The sequence below is a fragment of the Homo sapiens genome, chromosome 20, assembly GCF_000001405.40.
Source record: "Homo sapiens chromosome 20, GRCh38.p14 Primary Assembly".
Lineage (NCBI taxonomy): Eukaryota > Metazoa > Chordata > Mammalia > Primates > Hominidae > Homo > Homo sapiens.
In genome coordinates this window covers 37,893,922-37,920,202 of record NC_000020.11, presented here as the reverse complement: position 1 = coordinate 37,920,202, position 26,281 = coordinate 37,893,922, and the positions used below count along the sequence as shown (strand labels likewise).

General features: G+C 53.5%; 1 protein-coding gene and 1 long non-coding RNA gene across 4 annotated transcripts in view, besides 6 other annotated features; one reads left to right on the top strand and one right to left on the bottom strand.

Annotated features, from left to right (window-relative positions):
* The window catches only part of VSTM2L (V-set and transmembrane domain containing 2 like), a 42,224-nt gene extending 25,148 nt beyond the window's left edge, over window positions 1–17,076 (bottom strand). For both annotated transcript variants that reach the window (NM_080607.3, XM_011528530.2), the window contains exon 1: window positions 16,732–17,076. In NM_080607.3, the coding sequence (NP_542174.1) occupies window positions 16,732–16,852 (121 nt within the window). In that variant the 5' untranslated portion in view covers window positions 16,853–17,076. The remainder of the gene's footprint in view (window positions 1–16,731) is intronic.
* Window positions 1,211–21,922, top strand: LOC124904896 (uncharacterized). Of its 2 annotated transcripts, XR_007067576.1 has the most exons (3): window positions 1,211–4,580; window positions 13,344–13,584; window positions 20,686–21,922. It is a non-coding gene; the product is annotated as an uncharacterized LOC124904896 (long non-coding RNA). The 2 variants fall into 2 exon arrangements; XR_007067577.1 differs by lacking the exon at window positions 1,211–4,580 and having other exon boundaries at window positions 13,042–13,584.
* Window positions 2,475–2,976: an enhancer, noted in NCBI's record as "H3K4me1 hESC enhancer chr20:36545629-36546130 (GRCh37/hg19 assembly coordinates)". NCBI's record gives its function as "activates a minimal SCP1, AML or CMV promoter by ChIP-STARR-seq in naive H9 embryonic stem cells {active_cell/tissue: H9 hESC(naive)}" and the evidence as "EXISTENCE:reporter gene assay evidence [ECO:0000049][PMID:30033119]".
* Window positions 4,295–5,142: an enhancer, noted in NCBI's record as "NANOG-H3K27ac-H3K4me1 hESC enhancer chr20:36543463-36544310 (GRCh37/hg19 assembly coordinates)". NCBI's record gives its function as "activates a minimal SCP1, AML or CMV promoter by ChIP-STARR-seq in naive H9 embryonic stem cells {active_cell/tissue: H9 hESC(naive)}" and the evidence as "EXISTENCE:reporter gene assay evidence [ECO:0000049][PMID:30033119]".
* Window positions 5,143–5,990: an enhancer, noted in NCBI's record as "NANOG-H3K27ac-H3K4me1 hESC enhancer chr20:36542615-36543462 (GRCh37/hg19 assembly coordinates)". NCBI's record gives its function as "activates a minimal SCP1, AML or CMV promoter by ChIP-STARR-seq in naive H9 embryonic stem cells {active_cell/tissue: H9 hESC(naive)}" and the evidence as "EXISTENCE:reporter gene assay evidence [ECO:0000049][PMID:30033119]".
* Window positions 10,398–10,898: an enhancer, noted in NCBI's record as "H3K4me1 hESC enhancer chr20:36537707-36538207 (GRCh37/hg19 assembly coordinates)". NCBI's record gives its function as "activates a minimal SCP1, AML or CMV promoter by ChIP-STARR-seq in primed H9 embryonic stem cells {active_cell/tissue: H9 hESC(primed)}" and the evidence as "EXISTENCE:reporter gene assay evidence [ECO:0000049][PMID:30033119]".
* Window positions 16,813–17,776: an enhancer, noted in NCBI's record as "H3K4me1 hESC enhancer chr20:36530829-36531792 (GRCh37/hg19 assembly coordinates)". NCBI's record gives its function as "activates a minimal SCP1, AML or CMV promoter by ChIP-STARR-seq in naive H9 embryonic stem cells {active_cell/tissue: H9 hESC(naive)}" and the evidence as "EXISTENCE:reporter gene assay evidence [ECO:0000049][PMID:30033119]".
* Window positions 22,795–22,844: a silencer, noted in NCBI's record as "silent region_12895". NCBI's record gives its function as "represses an Ori minimal core promoter by ATAC-STARR-seq in GM12878 lymphoblastoid cells {active_cell/tissue: GM12878}" and the evidence as "EXISTENCE:reporter gene assay evidence [ECO:0000049][PMID:35858748]".

Genomic DNA, 26,281 nt, shown 5'->3' with positions numbered 1-26,281 from the left:
TGGGATTCAAACCCAGACCTTGGGACTCTAGAATTCAAACACTTCCCTGTTTCTGCTGGCTCCGTTGTTGCAGTGATGAAGACAGAGTAAGGGGGCATCGACAGCCTCTGCAGCCACTGCCCACTTCCATACCTGGCCCTTTTCCAGCAGCGTGAGAAAACCAAAGCTCAGAGAACCTGGGGGCCATTGGAGCCAGTCTCCTGCCCCGGGGTTGAAGGAAGGAAGCCCCTCCTCTATGCCAGACACTGTACACAGGACCCCTTTCATCCTCTCAGACTTGATGAGATGGTACTATTATCAGCCCCATTTCACAGAGGAAGTGCCAAGGCTCAGAGAGGGAGAGTCGGTGCCTGAGATCACACAGCATCAAGGGACAAGTTAGAGTTCAGCCTGACTTCAAGCTGGCTGCAAAATTTCCCCCACTGAAGCCTAAATCTTATCTAAGCCCCATCCTTTTCAGCTAGAAAAAGTGTGATTCTCTGGGGCCATTTCCAGGAAGCCTGCTCTATGCCCAGCTCAGCTGGGTGGCAAGGCCACAAGGGTGTGTGTGCTCCAGGTTCAGGAAGGCCTGTGGCCACCTTGCCTCCCAGCTGGGAAGCAGAGTAAGAGCTCTCCCGGGGAAAGGGCTGGAGAGGGAGGATTTAATGAGGTCCCAGCCCAACCGCCTGTAAATCTCAGCTGGCTTCTAAAATCAGGAGACATAAAATCCCCATAAGAAGAAAACCCAGATAATCAGGATGGAAAAGCCCTCCAGAAACAGAGAAGCCTGGCTGTGTCCAGGGCCCTCTCCTCCCCAGGGAGGCACCCGAGGGTTCTCTTTGTTTCTTTCTGGGTAGCCCTTGGCCCCTGACAGGTGCCTGCGGCAGGAGGAATGGAGGTGTGAGTTCATGAAGGTTGCTTCACCTTGGGACAGGCAAACAAACGCAGATGGGCTTTCTTCCTAAGAAGCCAAGAAGAAGGCATTTTGTAAGAAAGCTTAGGGAACTGCAGCATGCCTTGGTGGGAGGTGTCTGCCTCAGCGTGCAGTAGGAGCTTAAGTCCTCCCTCAAAAGGAATGGAAGAGATCAGCTCTGATGGACCCCCTACCCTAAGCCAGGCCCCGTGCCAGGCTTCCCAGGATGCCACAGATCAGGCCCCTGCCCTCAGGGAGCCTGCAGTCCCCAGGAGAGACACACATGCCAGAGACTGCTATAGGAACAATGGCTGGGATTGAACCTGGACTGCCATGTACAGTTGTTCAGAATGTGCACTGTTCATATGGCCATGAATCATAGTGCTGCCCAGGGTTATGCAGGGCAAACTGCATGTTGGAGCTATGGAAGGAGGTGCAGGTTCTAGAAGATCCTAGGAGAAAGATAGGCTCGTGTCTGCCTGGAGAGTCAGGGGAGGTTACCAGGAGAAGGGGACTTGCTTGGACCTGAAGGCTGACTGAGGTTTGCACAGTCAGAGGGGACTCAGAACAGAAAAGGGCATACCAGAGAGGGGTCTCCCAAGCCCAGCCTTTTAGCTGCCATCACCATTTCCACAGGGTCCCTGTACCACATGCACCATTATTTACTTAATATTTATTTTCAAAGCATCTTTCCCCTTTTACTTAAATAAATTCAGGTTAAAAGAAGACTTTTATTACCGCCATAAATGAAAAATCAGCATCACTTGCCATAAATAGAGGGTAACTGTAAAAATAAACGCTATGAAAACCAAACAGCATTCGTAAATTCTAGCCAAAGAAGCTTGCCTGCTGAAGGCTATGAGCCTCAATCTCCGTTTTTTTCTCATTAACAAGGGAGACTGGCGAAGGTTAGGTGTTAAAGTCAGAGAAGCACCAGCAGAGACTTTCTTCTTAATCACAAGGGGCTTGGGACGCAGGTCCTGCTCAAGTGTGGACACCAGCGGGCACCCAGCACCAGCCCTGGCTTCCGATGGCCATGGCCCAATCTCACAACCCATCACTAGTTCCCACCTCCAAGCCTTGCTCCTGCTGGGCCACATACCTGGAAAGCTTCCCTGCCACTTCCCTATCCCAATCTTGCCGATTCTTCCAGTGTGGCTCTTGGGACAGCATCCTTGCCCGTAGTGAGAACTAACACCCACTTAAGGAATGAAAATACCTGAATTGCATACTTGGAGAATGAATGAACAAAGAAATGAATGGATGACCCCTTTATGGTCTGTGCTGCTCAAACCAGGAAAGCAACTTCCTGAGGCATTGACTTCACTCCAGAAACATGGGACAAGAACGTTATTTTTGTATTAAAACAAACATGAATATATTATGGGATAGAATATAGAAGTCATAAATTTTGAATGAAATAGGAGACATCAAAGAAATGTTGCCCCTGGTGAGAGCTGTTTACTCTCCTGCGTGGGCCGCACGCCATCAACGGCCTCTTGTCCCATCCAGTCCAAAGCCTCCTTCTCCGCAACCCCAGGCTCCGCAGAGCTCAGACTGTGCTCTACCCACAGGAAGTGCTGGTGTGGTGGCTAACAGGGGAAGGGGCCAGGGGGACGGTCGGGCACTAGGGCGAGGGGGAGCCCAGGATTTACGGTGAGGATGCAAGCCACAGCTCTCCCTGGCGTGCTGGGTGGCATTGTGCAAGCTGCTTCACTACTCTGAGCTCTGGTTTCCCACTGTGTCATTGATTACAGGCTTATTTTGAGGATTAAATGGGCAAATGCAAGTGAAGAGCCTGTTTCAGTGTGTAGCACCCAGAAGGTCCACAACAACCGCTGTTCCCTGGTGGAACCCACTCCTTGCTGAGCCTTAGACACAAGCACATTCACCCAGGTGGGTCCTTGCCTGTCTCTGGCCGATGGAGGAGGGGCCGCCCTGCCTAGTAAAAATTTAAATAGCTAACATTTTTTTTTTCTTTTTTTCTTTCTTTTTTGAGACAGAGTCTCACACCGTCGCCCAGGTTGGAGTGCAGTGGCATGATCTTTGCTCACTGCAACCTCCGCCTCCCAGGTTCAAGCAATTCTCCTTGCCTCAGCCTCCCAAGAAGCTGGGATTACAGGCGGCCTCCACCACGCCTGACTAATTTTTTTGTATTTTTACTAGAGACAAGCTTTCACTACATTAGCCAGGCTGGTCTTGAACTCCTGACCTCGTGATCCGCCCGTCTTGGCCTCCAGAAGTGCTGGGATTACAGGTGTGAGCCACCGCACCTGGCCAAAATTAACCACTTTAAAGTGGACAATTGAGTCGCATCTAGTGCATTCACAATGTGATGCAACTAGTCCCAACATGCTGTCTTCCCCCCAGAAGGAAACTCCTCACTCCCCACTCTCCCCTAACCCCTGGCAACCTCAAATCTGCATTCTCACATTTGCCTACTCCGGATATTTCATATCATCTGCATCATATAATATGTGGTCTTTTGTGACTGGCTTCCTTCATCTAGCATAGAGTTTTTGAGGTTCATCTACCATTGTCGCACACATCAGTAATTCATTACTTTTCATAGAGGTGTTTCTTTAATACAATAAAATATCCTACCTAATCCCCAAAACAACCTGGGAAGTGGCCACTATCATTGTCCTCTTCTTACAGATGGGGAAACTGAGGCACGGAGTGGGTGGGGACTTGCCCAGGTTCCCTGCCAGACACCCCGACATAGCTGAGCAGGAAGTGCTGGAGCCGGCAAGCTGGAAGCAGGGCGCCTCCCAAGGCCACCAGCACATATTGAGGTAGACAGCAGTAGAATTACAAATCTAGGGAGATTTAAGGAGAACTAAAATATTCTGGCACTTGCAGGATTGTGGGAGTTGAGCAGGTTTCCCCAGTGGAATTCCCGCCTCCTCTTCCCACATGTCTGGGCCACAAGGAGTGAGAGCAGGTGGGAGGGAGGGAGGCAAGCGCGGGAGTGTTCAGGGAGCCAGAGATAGGGCAGGGGCGGGGGCAGGGAGCCAGGAGCCGGGAGCAGGCACACAGGCGTCCCGACGTCTCTACCGATACCATTTATTTTCATTCTCCCCAGTACATCCTGCAAAGCTAGTGGGGTGAGCCCATTGCACGGATGCATAACGAGGCTCAGAGAGGCTGGAGCGGGGCAGGATTTGAGCCTTAGTGTCAGATCCCAAAGCCGAGGCGCATAGCCATCCTCTGCTGCCGGGAGGGGCTAAGAGGGAAGAAGTGGGGGAAGCAAAGGAGGCTGCATCAATCACAGGGATGGATTTGCTCCAGCACGCCAGAAAGGAGCAGCCTCAGAGCCACTGAGGAGAAAGAACAGTGAGGGCTGTAAGGGGCGCTGAGGGTGGAGGCAGGAGGGCCAGGGACATGAAGGACGGGGCAAAAGGGGAGGCAGAGACCAACGGACAGGGACAGATGGAGGCAGGCACTTGGGATGTTCCAGAACAGAGGCTCTGAGGGTGCCCAGTGGGTAGGGTGGTGGTGGCCCCACCCTGACCAGAACCTGGCCTCGGTCAAACCTGACCCCCCACCCAGGACCTAGTACATGCCCCAGCCCCAGCCCCTGCCACCCCTGCCCAATCGTGTCTGCGAAATTCAAGGAAGCAACAGTAAATATGTGGGCTCCGGAGTCAGGCTGACCTGGATTTCAACCCAACTGCACCTCCTCAAGGTAGGTGAATCTCTGAGCTTCTAGCCCGGTTTCCTCATCTGTAAAATGGGTGCTGTGAGCGGTGCTGCAGTGACATCACGCAGGCACACAGTGGGCTCCCGGACAGGATCAGGCTGCTCTCCTGTCACCTCCTCACGTAGCCTGGCTCTACTTGAAGAAGCTCCTCCTTCTTCAAGGCTCCGGGCCCCTTGGACTTATTAAACCCTAGGGCTATTCTAGAACCAGAGAATTCATGGCTGAAGGGGTTGGGCCCCACCCCAGGACCTTGGCGCTTAGTGTTCCCAGAGCCTGGGAGGGAATTTCACAGGCCAAGAGCACAGAGCAAGAAGGCAGCAGCGCGGGTGGGGCCCGGGGCTTCCCGCACTAGCTGGAGGGTGTCTGAGGGCCATGGAGAGAGGAGCTGGTGGATCTGGGCCCTGTCCCAGGGGCCCTCAGCCGCTGTCCGACCGCCCCTCCCTCTCCTCCGCTGCCTGCCGGGAGACCATTAGTGAAGCTTTGTTTTGAGCACTATTTCCACTATCCTGCGCTCTGGCCGCCGGGCCTCCATTAGGGACCCTTTCCCGGACCGACGACAGGCGGCAAACAGCTCCCCAGCGAGCAGGCCCTAATTGCCGCCGCCTTCAACGCCGGAAATGATTTTTTTAAAACCTCACAAAGCAAAACAGACACCCCGCCGTCAGCTCTCCGCCTTCCCCACCTCGGGCCCCAGCCTGGGGGCTCTGAGGAAGGAGGGGTCAGTCAAGACCCCACCCCCATCCCAAGAGACACCCTTAAAATGCCGGGCTGGGGGAACATAGGGTTGGGCTCTGCACCCTTGCTTTGAACTAGGTGTGGGGCCCCAGCTCACCACGCCTCTCTAAGCCTCAGTTTTCCCCTCTGCAAGGTGGGCGTGTTGAATGGGAGCCCGATGCCTGCTGCGGGCCGTGCGATGCGGCTCTGACAGGTCATGTGCTTCTGGCTTCTCTAAGGGGTCCGTGGAGCACAGGGGAGCCAGGAGCCGGGAGACGGGAAGAGAGCACGAGGGGCAGAGGGAACAGCCAGGGAGAGAAAAGGTCTGGAAGGAACTTGGTGTGTGCAAGGACTAGAAAGGAGGCCAGTGTACACACACACACAACACACACGCATACACACAATACACACACACAAAATACACACATACACACAATACACACACACATACACATACACACAATACACACATATACAGACATACCCACACATACATACACACACCCACACATACACCCACACACATATATAAACACCCCACACACATGCACACATACACCCATACCCCACACACATACACACAGATGCACACACCCACACACCCACACATATACACACAGACACCACACATACACAGATATACACACACATAGACATATACATGCACACCACACAATATACACACACATACATGCACACACCACACATACACACATATGCACACACACCACACACATACACACACGCACACACACATTCGTGCGCGCACACACACACACAATTCCCTCTTTTTCTGATCCCACGTTCCCACCCTCCCTGGATACCGGCCAGCCCCAGCATCCCATGAACCACAAACTCAGCAAGGCTCACACCAAACTCAGCGCCTTCCCGGGAGCAGCCTCTCCTGTCCGTGCACGCCCGCATCCAGCCCCAAGTCCTGCTTCAGCTCCCCATCTCCACTCACCACGGCCAACCCACTCCGACGCCAACCTGGCCGTGCGCCCTCCCCACTCAGAAGGCTTCCAGGGCTGCCCCCTTCTCCAGGGGTAAGACCAAACTCCAGAGCCGATTCTTGGAGGTTCCAGCTGCAGCCTGCTTTTCTAAATACATGCACATGGTTCTCCACGAGGCCTCTGCCAGACCCAGGCAGCCAGGCGCAGCTCCACTCTGGCCTCTGGAGTCCCCTCTCAGCCCCAGCAGTCCCTGGATACAGGCCCAGAAGGAACCTGCCTCCCCCAGGAAGTCTCCCCTGACTGCTCTAGGACACAGTGAGCTCCCTCTAGAGACCTCCCTCTCTTGGCCCACCTGCCTATGCACTGTTCCCTGGGATCCTGAAGAGTCCCCCATTATCTCTTCCTGACCCCAGCTCTCTGAGTATGCTTACCAAGGACTTAGGAAAAGTGAATGAAGTTCGTTCCCACCCAGCTCGCATGAGAGGGCTGCAGGGAGAGAGAAAGGACTCCAGGATCCAAGCCTGTCCCTGCCACAGACTTGTCCCATGTCCCAAGGCCAGCCCTGACTGCTCTCTGGGCCTCAGTTTCCTCACCCGTGAAACAAAGGCTACTTCTGCCTGGGGCCAGAGACAGGCTTTGGGGGCCTCAAAAAACCCTTTGAAGCTTGTGGGCAAAACTCTGTGGCATTTTTTTGAGGAAACAATCCATAGTTTCCATAAGCTTCTTAAGAGGAGTGTGACTTCCAAAAAAATTAGTAACCACCAGTGTAGACAAGCGTCAGTGTCCCCTCCAGCTTTGCCATTTGGTCACTCACTCATTCATTCACCTGACATTTACTGAGTGCCTGCTCTGTGTGGGTGTCACCATGATATACGGAATATATGTATGTGTAATCCTGAGATGTCATCGAAGAGAGCTGTGTGCATACCCGAGAGAAAGGAAGGAATGGGTGGGGGCGGTGAGAAGAGAGGGGAAGATGGATCCAACAGACACAAAGGAGCAAAGAAAGAGGAAAGAGATCGAAAGACAGAGATAGAGAGGAAAAGAGATAAAGATCAGAGAGACCCAGAGAGAGAGGGGGAGAGAGAAAGAGAGAGACCCAGAGAGCAGTAGGGCAGGGAGAGAGAGAGATCCAGAGAGTAAGGGGCCGGTGGAGGGCACTTCCCAGGTACGGGTGGGCACTGCTGCCCTGCTCGCTGGTAGCTTGCTGGAGAAAGGCCCCCTCTCCCGGCTCTGACTCCTGCTCTAACCTTCCAGATGCTCCCATAGCCTCACCTCCAAGGGCACCAGTGTGCAGGTGGCAGGGAAGGCTGGTATTGAGGCAAACAGGCACAGGGCAGAGGGCACCAGCCCAGCCCTGACCTGCCCCCAGGCTCCCTCTCAGCCTGCACTGCCCCTTCAACCACACACAGTCACCCCCCAGACACAGCCCGCACCCACACAGTCAGACAGAAACACCGCTCCATCCACCAGAACCCCCAGGCAGGAACACACAGGGTCTCACACATGCCCCCAGAGCCCCACTGCTTCCCACTAACAGTGCTGGACCCAGACGCAGAGCCTAGACTTTTGGAGCCATGTGCTTGTAGCCAGAACAGGGCATTCTCAGCATTTTGGCATCACTGACCCCTGTGAGAATCTGACCAAGCCAGGAGCGCTGCTCCAGAACAAAGCACCTGCCCACACACACAGCTTGGCAGCCAGGAGCAGACAGATGCGCAGGCTACGAACTCTGGCTCTGTCGTCCCACAAGCTGGGCTCAAGCCCGGCTTTGCTGTTCAGCATCTGTGTGTCCTCAGGCAAGTCGCACCACGCCCCTTAGTGTCCTCCTCTGTAAAATGGGAGGGCCCGCCTCCTAGCATGGTGGGGAGTAAATGGGAGGAGGCAGGGGAAGTGATGAAAACACAGAGTTCTTGATGAACGCTGGCTGCTGTTTGGTCCGCAGATGCCTGCAGGCCACTGAGAGTTAAGGTGCTGATGGAATCCTACCACTCCCACCAGCTCCATCCTCACCCGCACACATACACACATGCACACACACACACACATACACGCACATACATGCTGGCTGCAGGACAAAAGATGTGGTTTCTAAGTATACAGATGGAAGAATTCTACAGGCTTGGAGCTCAAGCAAACTCACCATTGTTCAGTGGGGAAACTGAGGCCCAGAGAGGGGCAGGGACATGCCAAGTCACCCAGCAAGGCAGGCACAGGGTGGGGGAGAGGGGAGTATAGTAGACAAAAAACAGCATTACCCCAGCCCCTCTCCCCATCCTGGCACTTTAAGAGCTGAAGTGAAGTCACCGAGGAGCCACTGTCCCCCACGCCTCAACACAGGGGACAGAGAAGGCCCCATCCCTGCCATGACCCCTGGGTAGGGCCAGGGCATCCTCGGCGTTGGGGGCTCCACCCACCTGGGCCCTTGTGCCAGCACACACTAAATTGCCGTGTGACGGATCTTTATTAGCCGCCCGCTGTGTTCTGGCTGCTCTGCCTACTTCAACAGTCTTTGCTCCTTTGGGAAATAAGGCAGAAATCTCCTCACTAATATCCCCAGCTAATAACGGGTAGGGCTCAGCTTGCACACCTCCTGTGACAGGGAGCTCACTACTGGGTACCCTCCCTGCCCCACAGGTGAGTGTCCTTCTCTGTGTTTCTGTGTTTAATATCATCCCAGCTTTTTTTTTTTTTTTTTTTTTTTTGAGATGGAGTCTCACTAGGCTCACTGCTATCTCCGCCTCCTGGATTCAAGCAATTCTCTGCCTCAGCCTCCCGAGTAGCTGGGATTACAGGTGCCCGCCACCATGCCCGGCTAATTTTTGTATTTTTAGTAGAGATGGTGTTTCACCATCTTGGCCAGGGTGGTCTTGAACTCCTGACCTTGTGATCCACCCGCCTCGGCCTCCCAAAGTGCTGGGATTACAGGTGTGAGCCACTGCGCCCGGCCCCAGCTTCTTAAATCTTATCACAATACGTATATATTCTTCTTCTTCTTCTTCTTTTTCTTTTTTTTTTTTTTAAGAGACAGGGTCTCACTCTGTCACCCAGGCTGGAGTGCAGTGGTGCAATCACAGCTCACTGCAGCCTTGAACTCTTGGGCTCAAGTGATCTTCCCACCCCAGCCTCCCAAGTAGCTGGGACCACAGGCATGAGCCACTACACCTGGGTAATTCTGTATTTTTTTTGTTTGAGAGACAGGGTCCACTATGTTGTCCAGGCTGGTCTCAATCTCCTGGGTTCCAGTGACCCTCCAGCCCCAGCCTCCTGAGTCATTGGGATTACAGGTGTGAGCCACCGCACCCAGCTCTATACTTACATATTCTTTATGGGTTCAGTTTTCTGTCTCCCCTACTAGACTGAGAACTCTAAGAGAGCAAGAACCTTAGCTGTCTTCTTCACTGATAAGTTCCCAGTGGCTAAAAGAGCCTGGCACATGACAGGTGCCCAATTGATATTTGTTGAATGAATAAAAGAATGAATGAATGACCAAGCTTCCCAAACATGGCAGCAGCCTCATTAGGCCAGTAGCTCCCAGTATGAAGAGTATGGAGCATGCAGTGTGACAGGGCAGCCTGTTGGATGCCCCCGGGTCTCCAAGTCATGTCCACACTGTGGATCCCCACGGACATGCCCACGCACCGCCTGCGCTATTATGTCCTTAATGTTTTTCTATAAACTAACCCACCATTTTTTAATACCCCCATTAGTCTCATCCTAAGCAATCATATGTGTGAAATCACAGTTTTGATGTGCTAGTTATATTTTTTCAGTACACATTAAAATAAATGCTTAACTATTAAAATGTAAGAGGTTTCTCTAGGTTCTGCCTAAAATCATCTCTCCGGTAGGACCCAATCTTGTTGCGGGCCCTGGGGGGTTTTGAAGAGGGTTGAAACTGGGGGTGAAGTGGAGCTGAGTCCCAGGGACGCCCTGATGGCTTCAAGGAAGGGAAGGGAGGCCTGGCTGTGAGAAGGGAACCTGGAGGAGCAGCAGCCCCTCTCTGCCTCCCCACTGCCACCTCACTTCTCTGGAGCAGTGGGAACCAGGGGGAGCCAGCTGGGTGGGCTCTGGACCCCAGGACCAGCAGCTAGGAGAGGAGCAGATTTCTTCCCCAGCTGGACCACTGCTGCTTTTTCTGATGCAAGTGCCTCATCAGGGTCAGGGGAGAAGGGCGCGACCCTTGGACTCCCCCATCCTCATGGCTGCAGCATCACATATGCACCCCAAGGCCAGAGCCTGGGCCCACCCACTGCAAGGTGCCATCAGCCTTGCCCACTCCAGGATGTCCTTGCTCTGCTCAGCAGGGATAAGGAGGGGGCTCCAATTTTGTGATTTTTTCCCCCTATAAACATAGATTCCTTAAGAAATTAAAATCATTTGAATGTTTAAAAATATATTGACTTGGAATGAGCAAAGCTTTAAGAATTCAGACCTCATCCCCTGCTTCGTCCTCCTCGTCATCCATTCATTCATTCCCTGCCACCTCCCTGGGCCGGGCATTGTCCTGGGTCCCAGGACACAAGGGAATCTGACCCCAGTGTGCCCAGCGGGCCCCAAACTCCTTTCAGGACTGAGAGAGTCTTCCCACAACACCATCAGCAGCTGGTTTGGTCCCCAAAGTCCAAGGTGATGGCCAAACACTCTCACGTGGGCACCTGTGCCGCTGTTCACACTACACACTCTCCCCATGCTTTCGAAAATCGAGGGAAGTTGGAGGGTCGCTGGGATAGCATTCTGTTCCCACTGCTGCTCGCCCTCCTGGGTGTGGAATGCGGAGGCCATTGCACTCCTTCCACCCCAGAGCCAAGCCTCAAGTCCCAGCCCTGCTCTTCCCCTCTGTGTGACGTGGGCCTCTTCCTCCTCTTTCCTTGGACTCCCAGCCCTGAAGCCAGATTCTTCAGTTCAAGTCCAGCCTCTGACACTTGGTAGGTGTGTGACCTTGGGTAAGCCACTTAACCTCCCCGAGTCTCATTTTCTTCATCTAAACAGTGGGCCCGAAACAGTCTTTCCTCTTGGAGTTCTCGTTAGAATTGAATGAGATGATACCATTCAAGGCCCTGGCATGGCACTCAACACACACTTGCTTCCATATGTTTATCTCTCCTCTTTTTATTTTTATCTATTTATTTACTTTTGAGACAGGGTCTCACTTTGTCAACCAGGCTGGAGTGCAGTGGCACGATCTCAGCTCACTGCAACCTCCATCTCCTGGGCTCACGTGATCCTCCCGCCTCAGCCTACTGAGTAGCTGGGACTACAGGTGCGTACCCATGCCTGGCTATTTTTTTGTAGAGATGAGTTCTCACTGTGTTGTCCAGGCTGGTCTCAAACTCCTGGGCTCAAGTCATCCACCCACCTCAGCCTCCCAAAGTGCTGGGATTACAGGCATGAGCCGCCGTGCCCAGCCAATCTCTCCATTTGTACAGAGTTGGATGAGGTAATCCCAAAAGCCAAGAAGTACCCTCCAGGGCAATTCTGGGCAAATTCTCCCTTGCCCCTGGGTCTCTGTCTTCTCATCTGTAAGAGAGAGGCTTGGGACGATGGTCCCAAGGGGCCTCCATGATTCATTCCAAAAGCTCCATCTCCTGCCCCCACAGCCGGTGGATCAGAAGGGGTCACTTACCCGACTCCCCTCACCCTGCCCACTTGTTTGCCGCAGGCGACTTTGCCCACCATCCTTGCTGTCACCATGGCAAGGAGCCAAATTCCCTGCGTCCTGCTGGCCGCCTGCGGCTTCTCTTGTTTGGGGAAAAGGCTGCAGGAGCTGCTGATGGGCAAGGTGTCAAAACCAATTGGTGTGAAGGACTTGGGGAAAACCGCTTGTGAGGGCCAATTCCCCACAGGAGGCCGGGAAACCCTCAGCCCAAGGCAGAGTGTTTACAGGCGTAATTGATAGAATAATCACCAACGCCCGAGACAAAGACGAACACATTTTTAACATCATAACCTTTGGAAGACAGGACTCAATTTTCTTCATCTTCCAGCCACCAAACTAGCCAGCTTATTGATGGTGAGATACCAACAGTTCAGTAAGGAATGCGAGGAAGCCAGAGTCATTTTTCAGTGCACAGGCTGCTTGCCAAATGGCCCGGTGCCCCCTCCCTCCCCCAGCACCCTGCTGGTCCCTCCTGGCAACAGAGAGAATCTCAGGACAGTGAATCACTCAATGGACAAAGCCCCCGGCCAAGCCAGGATCTTTGTCTGCACTGGGGTATATGAATAATTGAAGGTGCTGGCCTAGGGGTGGGTGTGGGTGTGTGTGTGTGTAGGGGTGTGTGTGTGTGGCAGGGTGGGGGTGGGAGGGGAGTTGTCTGCTGCAGTGTGAGGCTTCTTGGAGCTCCTCTCAGGGACCATCCACCTGCCCCTGTCTGGACCTCTCCCTCCCCTGTGAAACCAAACCAAGCCAGTCCATAGCGTCAGACATTTCCTGTCCCTACATCTCCCACCAGGTATGGGTAAATACTTAGGCAGTGGCTTCCAAATCCCAGGCTGCATGAGAATCCTCTGGGGAACTTATTAAAATGCAGATTCCACTAGATGCGGTGGCTCATGCCTGTAATCCCAGCACTTTGGAAGGCCGAGGAGGGAGGATGGCTTGAGCCCAGGAGTTCAAGACCAGCCTAGGCAATATAATGAGCTCTCATCTCTACAAAAAATTTAAAAATTAGCTGAGGGTGGTAGCACATGCCTGTCACTCCCAGCTACTCGGAGGCTGAGGTAAAAGGATCATTTGAACCCAGGAGGCAGAGGTTGCAGTAAGCTGAGATTGTGCCACTGCACTCGAGCCTGGTCAATAGAGCAAGATCTTGTCTCAAGAGAAATTAAAAAATAATAATAAAATGTACATTCCAGGGTCCCATCAAATAACCATTCTGGCAGCGGGTTTGGGGGATCTGCATTGTAAAAAATTCCCTGGGGGACTCTGCCATGTGAGGCTTCTTGCAAGCTGTAGGGGTCCTCTGCAAGCTGTAGGGGTCTACAGAGATCTTCACAAAGACCCTGCCCTCTGGATCCCTCCCCTGGACAAGATCTGGAAAGATCCTGGGGTCCAGTCCAGCTGCCTGTTTCTAACCTACAGGTATCCTCAGCAAGATCTTGCCACCTTTCTGAGTGGCTGGTTCCTCTTGGTGGAACCCACTGCTTTACTGGTTCCCTGAGGAGCTAGAAGGGAGAAAGCTTGGGTTACGGCTACAAGAAGGAAGACGCCATGGCCAAGCCTGCCTCAAGGCTGTTCTGGAGGAGGCAGTCCCAGAGCTGCCAGATGCATCTTCATCTTAAACACAGCTTTCCAGCTCTCTGTACAGACTCAGCACCCTTGGGTAAGTCACTGGCCCTCTCTGAGCCTCAGTTTCCTCCTATCTCCAACACCAACCTTGCATGAATGGTCAGCCTGAGTGAGTTAACACTGGCAAGGGCTTGGCAGCACGGGGCACACAGTAGGCATTTCATCAATGCTTGCACCTTTTCCTCCCATCCCTGCTGTGCCCATGGGCAATGAGTTAACATTTTCTGATAAGAAAAAATCAAAATCACTCCTGTTTATTGAGCACCTACTAGGTGCAGACACGGACCATCACCACCCCACCTCCCAGTGCCTGATGCCTCCTTGAGATACATGCTCCCCATTCATTCCTCACACCTCGAAAAAGCCCTCTTCCAAGTACCTTGAGTGGAGGTGGGAGGGAGATGGGAAGCAAAACAGATGTCCTTTCTGACCCATCTGACCGCAGGCTTTCCCTGTGACAAGCTCCAGGGCAGGCAGGTGGAAGGCAGGAGCCCGGCGGCCGGGCTGGGCTCAGATGGAGTTGGAGGGGTGAGCAGCCACCAAGCACTTGGGGTCAATGTGCCCCTCCCCAGGAGCCCCTGCTTCCAGCCCCCACCCCCCACCCCCAGACACAGAGACACCTTCCCGACTGGGCCACATTTCCTGAATCAGCTGAGGACACACGGAGCCCAGGAATAATGAAATGATCAGGCCCCAATCTGCTAAACAGCAATTTCTGAGCTTTTTCAGCACACACAGCTTTTATCAAATTGGTATTCTCCTCCTGAACACAAATAGCTTATTAGACATGACCCACTTATTCGCCGCGTCTCACTATCATTAATAACAGTTTCTTTTTGTGATTAAGTGAGTGGCTCCAAACCCTTCCTGTGGTGGCGGGTGCTTGGCACGGCAGAGGGGCAGCTGTGGGGGCTCCTCGGCAGTCACTACTTGGTGACTTTGAACCTGGCAATGTCGGGGGAAGGCAGCCTGGCCCCTGCAGAGCAGCCTGGCTTCTTTGTTTCTTTAGGGACACAGGGAGACCCAGAGGGGTGGCTCACTTGCCCAGAGCCACACGGGGGTTTCAGGAGAGAAGCCAGGTTCCCCAGCAACTAGGGGTGCCTCCTTCTCATCTAGCCCCTGTCCTGGGCCTTAGCTTGACCTTCCAGGGTGCAGAGGGGAGATTACAGCTGGTTGGGCAGAGCTGTGCCCCCTCAGCTTACCTGGCACCAGGGGACAGGTAGAGACTGTCACACAAAGGGCAGACAGACCCTGCTTTTCTATGGGGGGGAGCCACCTTGGGGCCTTGGGAATAACAGACTGGCACCCAAGTCCCTGGGGTCTGGTGCTCTAGGGACAGAACGACCATAAGCCTCAGAGTCCCATTCCTCATACCCCTCGGGACTGCAAACTCAGGGAAGGCCCTCCATGGAAACCCCTCCTAGTGTAAGTTCCAACTGTGCCAAGGGACTGAGCGGAGCGAGGAGAGGAGGGGTGGAGAGGGAGGAATTCCCAGTTTCCCTAGAATGGGAGGGAATCTGACAGGGAGATGAATGTCCTGGAAAAAAGCGCTGTCTTTGCCTGACAGACCCTGGGGCCTGTCCTGGCTCAGTCACTCTCTTACTGTGTGACCTTGGGCAACTTCCTTCACCTCTCTGAGCCTTGGTTTCCCTATCTGTAAGTTGAGGATCAAAAGAACCCTTTCCTTATTTACCACCGCTCTAGCCAGGTCGGTAGAAATGAGGTGAGGGGCATGAAGGGTATGTAAATGATGCACACAGCAGTTACTACCAAACATGGTGAGGCAGAAGGGGGCGGGGAGTCATGGTTCCCAAAAAGCAGAGACCCTGAGGATGGCTTCGAAGCCCCCCTCTCCACTGGAGCAATCCCACTCATGTGTCATACCCCAGCAAAACCTTCCCTGATTATCTACCCTGCCTTACCCCCACTCACTCCCATCAGAATAAATCATCCAATTATCTGGCCTTTGTGCAAACCTCCCCACAGCCCTGGGCCCACAGTGCCCAGCACTGGGGCTGCAGCCTCCCCAACAAGGCTGTCAGCCTGTCTAGTGAAGGGCTGCATGGAAGAAAGGTCTCCTTTGGTTTCATCTATGCTCGAGCCTCCATCCCAGAGCCAGGCTCACAGGGGTCAGGGGGAGCCCCCACAGCTGCCGGGCTCATACAGTCCAACTCTGCTGCCAACTTGGGCTCCTTCGGGGCTAGCAGGAGCTTCTGACACTCAGCCAGCCAGTGCTGGGAATGCTTGTCTGCTCCCCGGCTTCCACAGCGGCTGGAGTTGAGATTTCCCACATTTCAGTCCTCTAGGGCCGAGGATGAGGATGGGGGTACCCTATGGAAGGATGGCACGGCTTCCTGCCCATCCCCAGAGGCAGACAAAAGCACCCGGCATTCCACTTCCACTCCCACTCCCATGCCTCTGGCTGCAAGCAGCAACCCCAACTACTCCGGTGGCTCTGAGGGGCTTCCACCAGGTGCCACCCGCCCAACTGGGAGGCTGCAGCCCCAGGCGACCAGTTCTCAAGAAACAAGGTCTTCTGCCCCCAAGGACCTTTCCAGTGGTATAGGGCTGGGTGTGGAGAGGAAGAGGACAAGGGCCTCTGTGCGGTTAAACCCAGAAGAGTAAAGGCAGATGGGCAGAGAGGAGTGGGTGAGCAAATTGTGTTCATGTGTGTGTATGTGTGTGCCTGTGTGTGTGTGCGCGCGCGCGCACCAGTGTGTCTGCAGGTGGGCAGGCAAGAGTTGTGGCGAAGCGTGTGCGCCAGCTGGCAGAGTGAGCCCACCGGCGCAGTGCCTGATGTGCGTGTGTAGTGGGCATAAGTGTAAAGGCTTGCAGTGAGGAGGGGGACCTGAGGTGTGTGGAGATGTGCAGGGTAGGAGTTGTGAGTGTGAGAAAGCAGCGACTGTGGCTCTGAGTGTGTCCGCGGCTGTGCATATCGGTGTGGCCATGCAGGTGTGCGTATCCGCGCGAGTGTGTGGGGAGGAGGTTCGGGGGTGCGCCCCGGGTGCCCCCTTCTCTGCAGGGCCAGGGTGCCAGGGCGGGTCCACCGCGCCGGCAGGGGGCGCCCCGGGATGCCCGCCACGACTGGCGCCGGTTCGAGCCCCGGGGCGGCCAAGTTGGAGTGGCGCGGCCCGGGTTGGGGTTTGGTGGGGAAGTCCGCGGGGGCGGCGACCGAACTCACCGTGGCCGGAGACGTGGTTGTCCCAGGGCGCGTGGCCGGCGGGCCGCGTGGCGCCGCCGAGTTGCAGGAAAAGTGCCAGGTAGTGGAGGGCGCCCAGCGCTACGGCGAGCGGGGCCCCCATCGTGCGCTCTCGGGCCGGGGGCGCCGCCGCCTCACATCTGGGCCCCGGAGACCGCAGAACCGGCGCCAGCTGTCCCCTGCCCTGAGCGGCCTGGCTGCCCGGCTCCGGCAGCTGCCCCTCGCCCGCTGTCCCCGGACCCGGCCCAGCTCCCAGCCCTCGCCCGGCTCCGGCCCAGCCCCGGCTTCGGGGAGCGAGCGCACGCCCAGCCGGCCGCCTCCGACTGCGGGACTCTTCCCTTCCGCGGAAGGCCACGCCGCGCCGCCGCCGCACCCTCCTCCCTCCTCCCGCCTCCCTCCTCCCCTCCCTCCTCCCCTCCCTCCTCCCGCTCGGAGCAGGCGGCGGAGGGATCTGCCGCTTGATTTATCATCAAAGTTTTGCCCAGGCTGGGATTTTTAAAGCGGTACCCGCAACTTTCCCCCGCCCGAGTGCGGAGGCGGGGCCGGGATGGGGCGGAGAGAGCCACCCCAGGGACGCGGTTCCCGCAAAGCACGACCCAACGGGCTTCAGCCACAGAAATGCCGTCCAGCGGGGAGAGGGAGAAAAGCCAGGGCACCCGCCGCCAGGCCAGCGCACTCAGAGGCTCCTAACTTTACCGGCAGGGCGGGGCCGGGGTCAGGGGCCAGTGGGGCTGGGGGTGAGGGCGAGGTAGGGTGGGAGCCTGGGCTGAGACCCAGGGGACCTGGTGATAGCTCTGCCGCCGACCTCGGCTCGCTGTGTGATCGCGTCCGGGTGTCTACCCCTCTCTGAACCTCGAAGTCTTCATCTGAGAAATAGGGGTAATAGCTGTCTGCGGGGGTCCTGGTGAGGATTTGCGAAATCGTGCATGCAAAGCGCTTAGCATAATGCTGCCTACGTGGTAGGAGCTCAGTAGTTATTATTGTCGGTGTTCCCCTTTCTGGGACTCAGTTTTCGAGTCTTTGTAATGGGAGAGAGACAGGCCAGTTAGTTGTTGCGGCTCCTGGCTCTTGAAGATACTGGACCTTATGTGGTGGATGGGATCGCCCCCTTCTGGACTGTAGGCTCCTTCCCTAGACCAATGAGCCTTGATGGTGTGTGTGTGCATGAGTGTGTGTGTGCGTGTGCGTGTGCGCGCGCGTATGCGTGGGTGTATGTGTGTGTGAGTGTGGCAGGGGAGGGGGATAGGGCACCATTCCCATTCCCAAGAGCAAGAATCCAACAAAGTCCTCCAGTTCCTTCCCAAGCCGTGTTACTGGGGCTGATGGGACAGACAGGAGGGCGGAACTGTGGTCCCATTTAAAAGATAAGGAAGCGCCTGAAATCAGGTAATTAGCTTCTCTGAGGTCCCACGGCGAGTCGGGCGAGGCCCCTGACTCCTGGGCGGGGTCCCTCCTGCTCTCATCCCTTGCCCTTCCCCAGGCCTCCCTGCTCACACAGCCTGGTCCTCCCGGTTTCAGCACCACGGAGGAGGACAGCGCCAGCCCCCCCCCCGCCCCCCGCCCCCCGCCCCACCCGGGCCCATCCTTTGGGCACCGTGGACAGCGTCTCAACTGGCCCTTTGATGCTAGGGTTCACACCGTGGACAGACCCTCAGACTTTCTTCCCCGTCCCCGTCGAACAGGGTCAACCCCTCCGACAGCCCACTCCCCACTCCAGAACACAGGTGGATCCCGCGTCCAGCCGTGTGTACAGCGCCCAAGTTTGAGAACAAGGTTAGAGACCAAGGAACATAGCCCCTCGCCGTCTTCCCTCTGTCTTAGCGCCCCCCTTCCAGTATTATGGGGGGGGGGTAGCACACCGGATGGGGCCCGTGGTAGCCAGCAACAATCCAGCTCCTTCCAAACTAAGGACACCTCCTCCACGATGTCCCGCACTTACAAGCACTGTGTTCTAGCACCGTCCACAGCCCCCGCGCTCCCTTCAGTACCGAGGACAGGTCCCAAGCGTCGACCGCTTCCCCCACCCCCCGAACCTTCTGGACCACATGCCTTGGAGGAAGGGGCCGTGTTTGCCTGATTCTCTCACTTCTCACTTTCTTCCCACACAGAGGTGGTGTTTAGGTTATCCTGGGCTGGCCAGGCGTCTTGGACTCTATGCACGTGTTTTCTCATTCATTAACTACCCTGAACCCCGCTCCCAGCGAAATGAACTACTGCTTCCATCATAAAGATATGGAAACTGAGAATCCTCCAGATCACATAGCAGCCACCATGTTAGCCAGACTAAAACCCAGGACTCCTTCAACCCCAGCCTGAGGCCTCACCAGGAGACTGTGGTGACAGAACTGGGACTCAAACCCGGGCTTTCTCCTCTTAAACCACAGATTGGAGGGAGCAGACACAGGCAAGGGGACAGGGAGGGAGAGGAGATTAAAGAGGAGTAAACAAGAGATTGCTCAGGCCTGCAGAGGAAGGGGGTCTGGCGGGATGGCAGCACATTGCTGCTGTGCCCCTAGCCCACCGGCTGACCTTCAGAAATCTTTTCTCTTTGAAGCCTGGAACAAGGTCAAGGTTCCTTCAAGGACAGACATCCAGGGATTGTATGCCTTTGAAAATGCTCGTGATCGGCCAGGTGTGGTGGCTCACGCCTGTAATGCCAGCACTTTGAGAGGCCGAGGTGGGCATATCACGAGGTCAGGAGTTCGAGACCAGCCTGACCAACATGGTGAAATCCCATCTCTACTAAAAATACAAAAATTAGCCAGGAGTGGTGGTGGGCACCTGTAATCCCAGCTACTCAGGAGGCTGAGGCAGGAGAATCGCTTGAACCTGGGAGGCGGAGTTTTCAGTGAGCCAAGATCACACCATTGTACTCCAGCCTGGGTGACAGAGTGAGACTTCATCTCAAAAAAAAAAGGAAAAAAGAAGAAAATGCTCATGATATAATGGTTCTGCTAAAAAAACCCTCTGATGGCCTGTTTATGTGAGAAATCCTGACTTCTCTAGTTTGCATTCAGGGTCCCAGACTCACCTCCTGCACATATCCTGTGCTCTCTTGGGCATGCCTTGGCCTCATTACATCTTCAACCTTCCCAGTGCTTCCCCTGTGCTTGTATGCCTTCCCCTCTGTCTAGCTGAGTCCCCAGTTGGGCGAGGTCCAGCCTGAGTCCCCATGGGAAGAAATGCCTGCTGCCTTCTCCCAGTCCCCAAGCCTCTGTTGGCTCATCACTGTATGCCCAGCATGGCCCTAAGAACTTTCATTATTCCCCTTAATCCTCAGAACCACCAGGCCAGGTAGGGTAGGATGGTGTGGTTAGAAGTGTGGGCTCTAGAGCCATATTCTCTGTTTTGAATCCTGCCATTTGGTAGCTGTGTAAACTTAGACAAGTTGCTTAGCCTCCCTGTGCCTCAATTTTCTCGTCTGTAAAACAAGGGTAATAATACCTCCTTCACAGCAGGGTGGTGGGGATTAAATGAGTTGTTACATGGAAAGCACTTAGAACAATGCCAGGCACATGGCAAATACATGATACATGTTGACTAGTGTTCTTGATATCTACAGATGAGGACATAGGTTCAGAAAGGTTAGGTATTTTGCCTAAAGCGACATAGCAAGGCCATGATGTGTTTGATTCCAGAGCCAATCAAACATTTCATATGTTTGATTCCAACCTACCCTCTTGGCACCTTAAGAAACTAAGACCCAGAGAAAGTAATTCACTTTCTCAGAGCCACACAGCCACTCATGACAGAACTGGATCCAGGTCCTTTGTCTCCCAACTCAGAGACCTCCCACTATACTGTACTGTCCCACTTGTATTTCCTGCAGCACCTAAACTACACTTTACAGTTTACAAATCACATTCACACCCATGATCTCCTATAATTCATACAACAACCCCTGAGGCTGCTATTATACCCTTCCTTCTTTTACAGATGGAGAAACAAAGCTCAGAAAGATGATGTAACCTGCACAAAGTTGCACAGTGAGGTAGGGCAGAGGCTGAATGTGAACGGACACATCCCAGCCCATCCTCCTCCCCTGTGTAATTGTGCCTCTTGTCTGCTTCCCAATGCAAGTGTAATCTCTGGGCACCGTGGAAGCCGAGAGCCTAGTGGAGGCAGAAGGTAAGCAAAGACTAGCCCAGGAAACAGTCTCTAGGAATTCACTAGAGTGGGTGACGCCTGTCACTCATTTCATTCTGGGAATGCTGCAGGAGATGGAAAGCCTCCCATCCCTGGAGGCAACTAACATGCCTCTAGTGGTCGTGTGGATGCCATGAGGCAAATATCACTGCTATTTCCATTATATAAATGAGGCTCAGAGGTGAGCATCACGTCAAGTATTTCAATTGGGAAAGATGATATTTTTAAACTTCCCTCTAAGCATGGGATCTTGCACTGCCCCTTACTGCTGAGCCAAGCTCCCTGGAGAGTCTCCATACCCTCCCCTTGACTCAGACAGGCCACCCTCCCTCCCCTCCTTGAGAGGTGTCACTTGAGCACTGTGGCTCTGTCAGTGGTAACAGCTGTAAGATTTGTCCTTTTAATCCAGAATCAATAACAAATTTCATTTAAAAATAAATTAAACCAGGCATTGGAAATCATTCACCACGTGGGCTGGAGCCCTATATAGCACCATCTAAATGGCTTCCTTTTGCTCATCTATCAATGCCAAGAGTGGGGGAAATACCTAGGCTGCCTGATTCATGGAGAAACTACTTAAATGTATCAGCCCCTAACAATGAGCAATGTAAGCCTGGAGTTGCACCTTTTAGCACACCAATAACATGTGGAGTGAGGCTTCATGAGAGCTTATCAGAGCCCCCATGGTCACTGGCTTTGAGAGAGCCCATTTATAAGGGGGAACAATGGCTTTAGTATGTAGCCGCCTAATTTCCAGAATGCATTACTGAGCTCTGAGGAGCAATGGAATTCTATTAAAGTCTTATCTGCCATGGGAGGGTATGAAACCGGTGCGGAACTCCAGGCTTGGCATAGACATGCCCAGAAAGCAGCAGGGCTGACCCTAGGAGGTGGGTGAACAAGCCCAGAGGGAGAGGGGGGAGCAGGAGGGGCCCCGGATGTGTGAAAATATGTGTGTTAATAAGAGCTCCGGTTTCCAGCGATTACGTTTACATCAGTGAATAAAACTTGGCAATAAAACATCGGAGCTGCGTCTCAGACAGCATTTCCTTTTACAGCCTGGTGTATTTCACTCATTATAACAGGAGGCAGGGAGCGCGAGGTGTCCCCATTTCTCCCCCTTTAATTAAATTTTCTAAATTACTGCCCAAGATTTGGATAAAGCGAAAGACTTACAGCTCCCCTAATCGCCATCGAGGCTCCCGCCCCACCACTGTGGTGGCCCTGACTGTACCGGTTTCCAATATTATTAAAGTGAAATACTGTGGGCATTGCCTGCCTGGGCTCTGGTTTTTAAAAAGAGATGCAGCATCAGGAAGAAATTGGCCCACGGTCAGGAAAGAGGCCTGGGTTTCAGGACGGGCTTTGCCATCACCACCTTGTGTGACCTTGGGCAAGTTATTTCTCTTATCTGAGACTCATGACTTCTCCTTTTCCCCAGATGTTCATCTTGAGGCTCTTAGAATTGATCTGGAGCTGGGGCAGTCCTTGGACCCACACTGGGACGACTGGGGAGCTTTAAGAATATATGGGTGCCCAGGGCACACCCCAGAGATTCTGACATAATTGGTCTTAGGTGAGATCTGGGTATCAGGGTTTAAAAAAAATTCCCCAGGTGATCACAGTCCACAGCTAGGATTGAACACCATTGGCCTAAACACAGAGTTATTAGATATTACTGGACTTGAGACTCTCTGGAGAGGCTGGCTGTGGCCAGGCCCCACCCCTGGGTGTTCTCTTTCAGACTGGCTTTTCGGGGTGGGTATCTGGGAATCTGCCTGCTCACTAAGCACCCCAGGTGTGTCTCGTGCAGGGATCCAGTGGGCTGCAGTGAGGATTCCAACAGAGGTGGGAGGACAAGGGTTCCTTGAATTGAGCCCAGCCAGCCTCGTGGAATGAGGAGGCCCCTCTGCCCCAGTTCCCCTCTGGAGGGCAGCACAGGGAGCCGATATGTGACCTCCCACTCCGGTCTGGGGTACTTCTCTCCTCTGATGACTGATTTCTTTATCTGTTCCACTCACCGCTGGCAGGAGCCTTGACTGGCCTCCACAGTCACATCATGTTCCCATCATAGGAACCCCAGGTCTGGCCCCTCTGCCCATGTGGTTCACGATCGCCGCAGACCCAGGTTTTCCACATGGACGGACTCCGAGCCTTTATCTGCACTCTGCCTCCCGCAGGGCTCCTAGGCCTCCTAGGAAGGCCTTGTCTAGGCTGAGAGCCATGCTTGGGCCAAGGGCTAGGAGCCAGGGACAGCAGGGGGGCCTGGGCACAGGAAATTCATTCATTCTGGCTCCTGCCTTTGCCAGAAGTCCTAGGGAGTGTCCCTGACATTTTTCTTCTGGATTCCGGTCTAAGTGGACCACACAGAGTGAAGACATAATCTAAAACCTAAAACTTAAATTTAAAGCATCTTTTTAATTTATTTATTTAAGACAGGGTCTCACTCTACTGCCCGGGCTGGAGTAAAGTGGCAGGCACTATCACAGTTCACTACAGCCTCAAACTCCTGGGCTCAAGCAATTCTCCCGCCTCAGCCCCCGAGTAGCTGGGACTACAGGCATGCACCACCACACCCAGATAATTTTAAAAATATTTTGTAGAGATAGGAGTCTAACCATATTGCCCAGGCTGGTCTTCAACTCCTGGCCTCAAGCGATCCTCCCACTGTGGCGAATGGAATTACAGACGAGAACCACCATGCCCAGCCAGCATCTCTAATTTTTAACGGAGAAGGCCATCAAAGATCAATCCTCATGTCCCTTTTGTGCAGACAGAGGAACTGAGGTCTAGAAAGACATGGAGAGAAGCCTAGGATCTCACAGTGAGGGAATGGCAGAACGAGGCCAAAGACCCAGGTCTCCTGACTCTAGGCCGGGGTCCTTCTTCCACATGCCACTTGCCTGAGGAGGTCAGACAGGATCCATCATCACCTGTGCAGCCAAGCAGCTCCTCAAAAAACATCCAGCTCTGTGGCTTCCCAAAGAGGGAACTTCTCCGAGGCCCAAAGAACCTTTTGTCCTAGTCTGCTCAGGCTGCTGTAACAAAACACTGCAGACTGGTTAAGCAGAAATTAGCAGAAATCTATTTCTCACTGTTCTGGAGGCTGGAAAGTCCAAAATGAAGGTGCCAGCAAGATAGGTTTCACTCTGAGGCCTCTTCTCCTGGCTTGGGGGTGACTGCTGTCTGGCTGTGTGCTCACAAGACCTCTTCTTTGTATGTGCAGAGGAAGAGGGTGGGAGAGGGAAGAGGAAGGGAGAAAGGGAGTTCTCTGGTGTCTCTTCTCATTATTTATTTATTTATTATTTATTTATGTATTTTGAGACAGAGTCTCACTCTATTCAGACAAGGCTGGAGTGCAGTAGTGTGATCTCAGCTCACTGCAACCTCTGCCTCTCAGGTTCAGGCGATTCTCCTGCCTCAGCCTCCTGTGTAGCTGGGATTACAGGCACCTGCCACCACACTCAGCTAATTTTTGTATTTTTAGTAGAGACGGGGTTTCACCATGTTGGCCAGGCTGGTCTTGAACTCCTGACCTCAAATGATCTGCCTGCCTTGGCCTCCCAAAGTGCTGAGATTACAGGCTTGAGCCACTGTGCCCAGCCTAATATCTATTGTCTCTTTTATAAGGACACTAATCCTATCAGATCAGAGCTCCACCCTTCCTACTTCATTTAACCTTATTTACTTCCTTACCCCAAATACCGTACAGCCACATTGGGAGTTAGGGCTTCCACATATGAATCTGGGGGACACATTCAGCCCATAGTATCCCTCCAGGCTTTGGCCCTCAGATTTGAACCTAAACCCACAAATTGCACTCTACCAAGGCCAGTAAGTACATGTGGCTCGTATCTGTGTTGTCCCAGCAAGAAGCCTAATGACAATCCCCATCAAAGGCAATTAATTGCATCAGGGAGGGGTTCCTAGGGCCCTTCACCCTGCAAACCAAGTGCTTATTAAACACCGCGGGACAGCAGGGTCTCTGCCAATTACAAGGCCCTGCTTGTAGGAGTGTTTTTAAAATCCTGAACTGACTTTAATGGCGTGGTTAATGCCAGTCTAAATATTCCATGGTTGTGAGTAATTAGCTAGGCCGATGCTGTCCAACAGAAGTAAAATGCGAGCCACCTGTGTAATTTTAAATTTTCTAGTAGCCACATTTTAAAAAAGTAAAAGCAATCAGGTGAAATTAACTTTCATAATCTGTTTTATGTCACCCAATATATCAAAAATATTATCATTTCAACACATAATCAATATAAAGCATTATTACTGAGATATTTTACGTTCCTTTTTCCATACCAAGCCACCAGAATCTGGTGTGTGCATTTTATACTTAAAGCACATCTCAATTTTGGACAGCCACATTTTCAGTGCTCAATGGTCCGTGTGGCTCATGACTACCATAGCGGACAGCACAGAGCTAGATGCCTCTAAGGGAGGCCTGGGCCTAGTATCTCCATGGACCCCACACAGGAGAAGGGGATGAGCATCTGTTGAGCGCTTCCTGTGTGCCAGACACCAGGATTTATCTCACCAAATCCTCGTGACAAGGATGGGACTGTTCATTCCATCTTACAGCTGAAACCACGAAGATTCAGAGAGATGAAGTGGCTGGGCTGAAGTCACACAGTGGCTGGGACCAAGGTCCACTGCCCCCAGCCTCTGCCATCAGAGCCCTCAGGTGGAGGCAGGCAGAAGACAGGGCCTCAGGCTTGGGGAGGACCTGCCCAGGTGGCTGGTAAAGCTGGGCTTGTTCAAGGATGCCTGCAGCCTCAGGGGTTAATCCTCCTTGCTTTCCCCTTGGGTGACAGCGTCTTCCTGAGATTTCCTGCTGCAGAGCAGAGGGAGCCTCTGAGGGCTGCCCAGCCTTCTCCAGCTTCAGAGAGGAAGCAGGGCCCCAGTGCCAGGGTGGTGGAAGCAGCAGCAGTAACAGCCATCATCCTGGTCACTTTTTTTTTTGAAGTGATGGGGTCTTGCCAGGCACAGTGGCTCACGCCTGTAATCCCAGCACTTTGGGAGCCCGAGACAGGAGGATCGCTTTAGCCCAGGAGTTTGAGACCCACCTGTACAATATAGTGAGACCTAGATTTTACAAAAAAAATATAAAAATTAGCCAAGCGTGGTGGCACGTGCCTGTATTCCCAGCTACTTGGGAGGCGGAGGTGGGAGGATGACTTGAGCCTGGAAGGAAGAGGTTGCAGTGAGCTGAAATTGAGCTGCTGCACTGCACTCCAGCCTGAGGGACAAAAAGACTCTGTGAAAGAAAGAAAGGAAAGAAAGAAAGAGAGAGAGAGAAAGAAAGAAAGAGAGAGAGAAAAGAAAAGGAAAGAAAGGAAGAGAAAGAAAGGAAGAAGAAAGAAAGAGAAAGAAAGAAACAGAG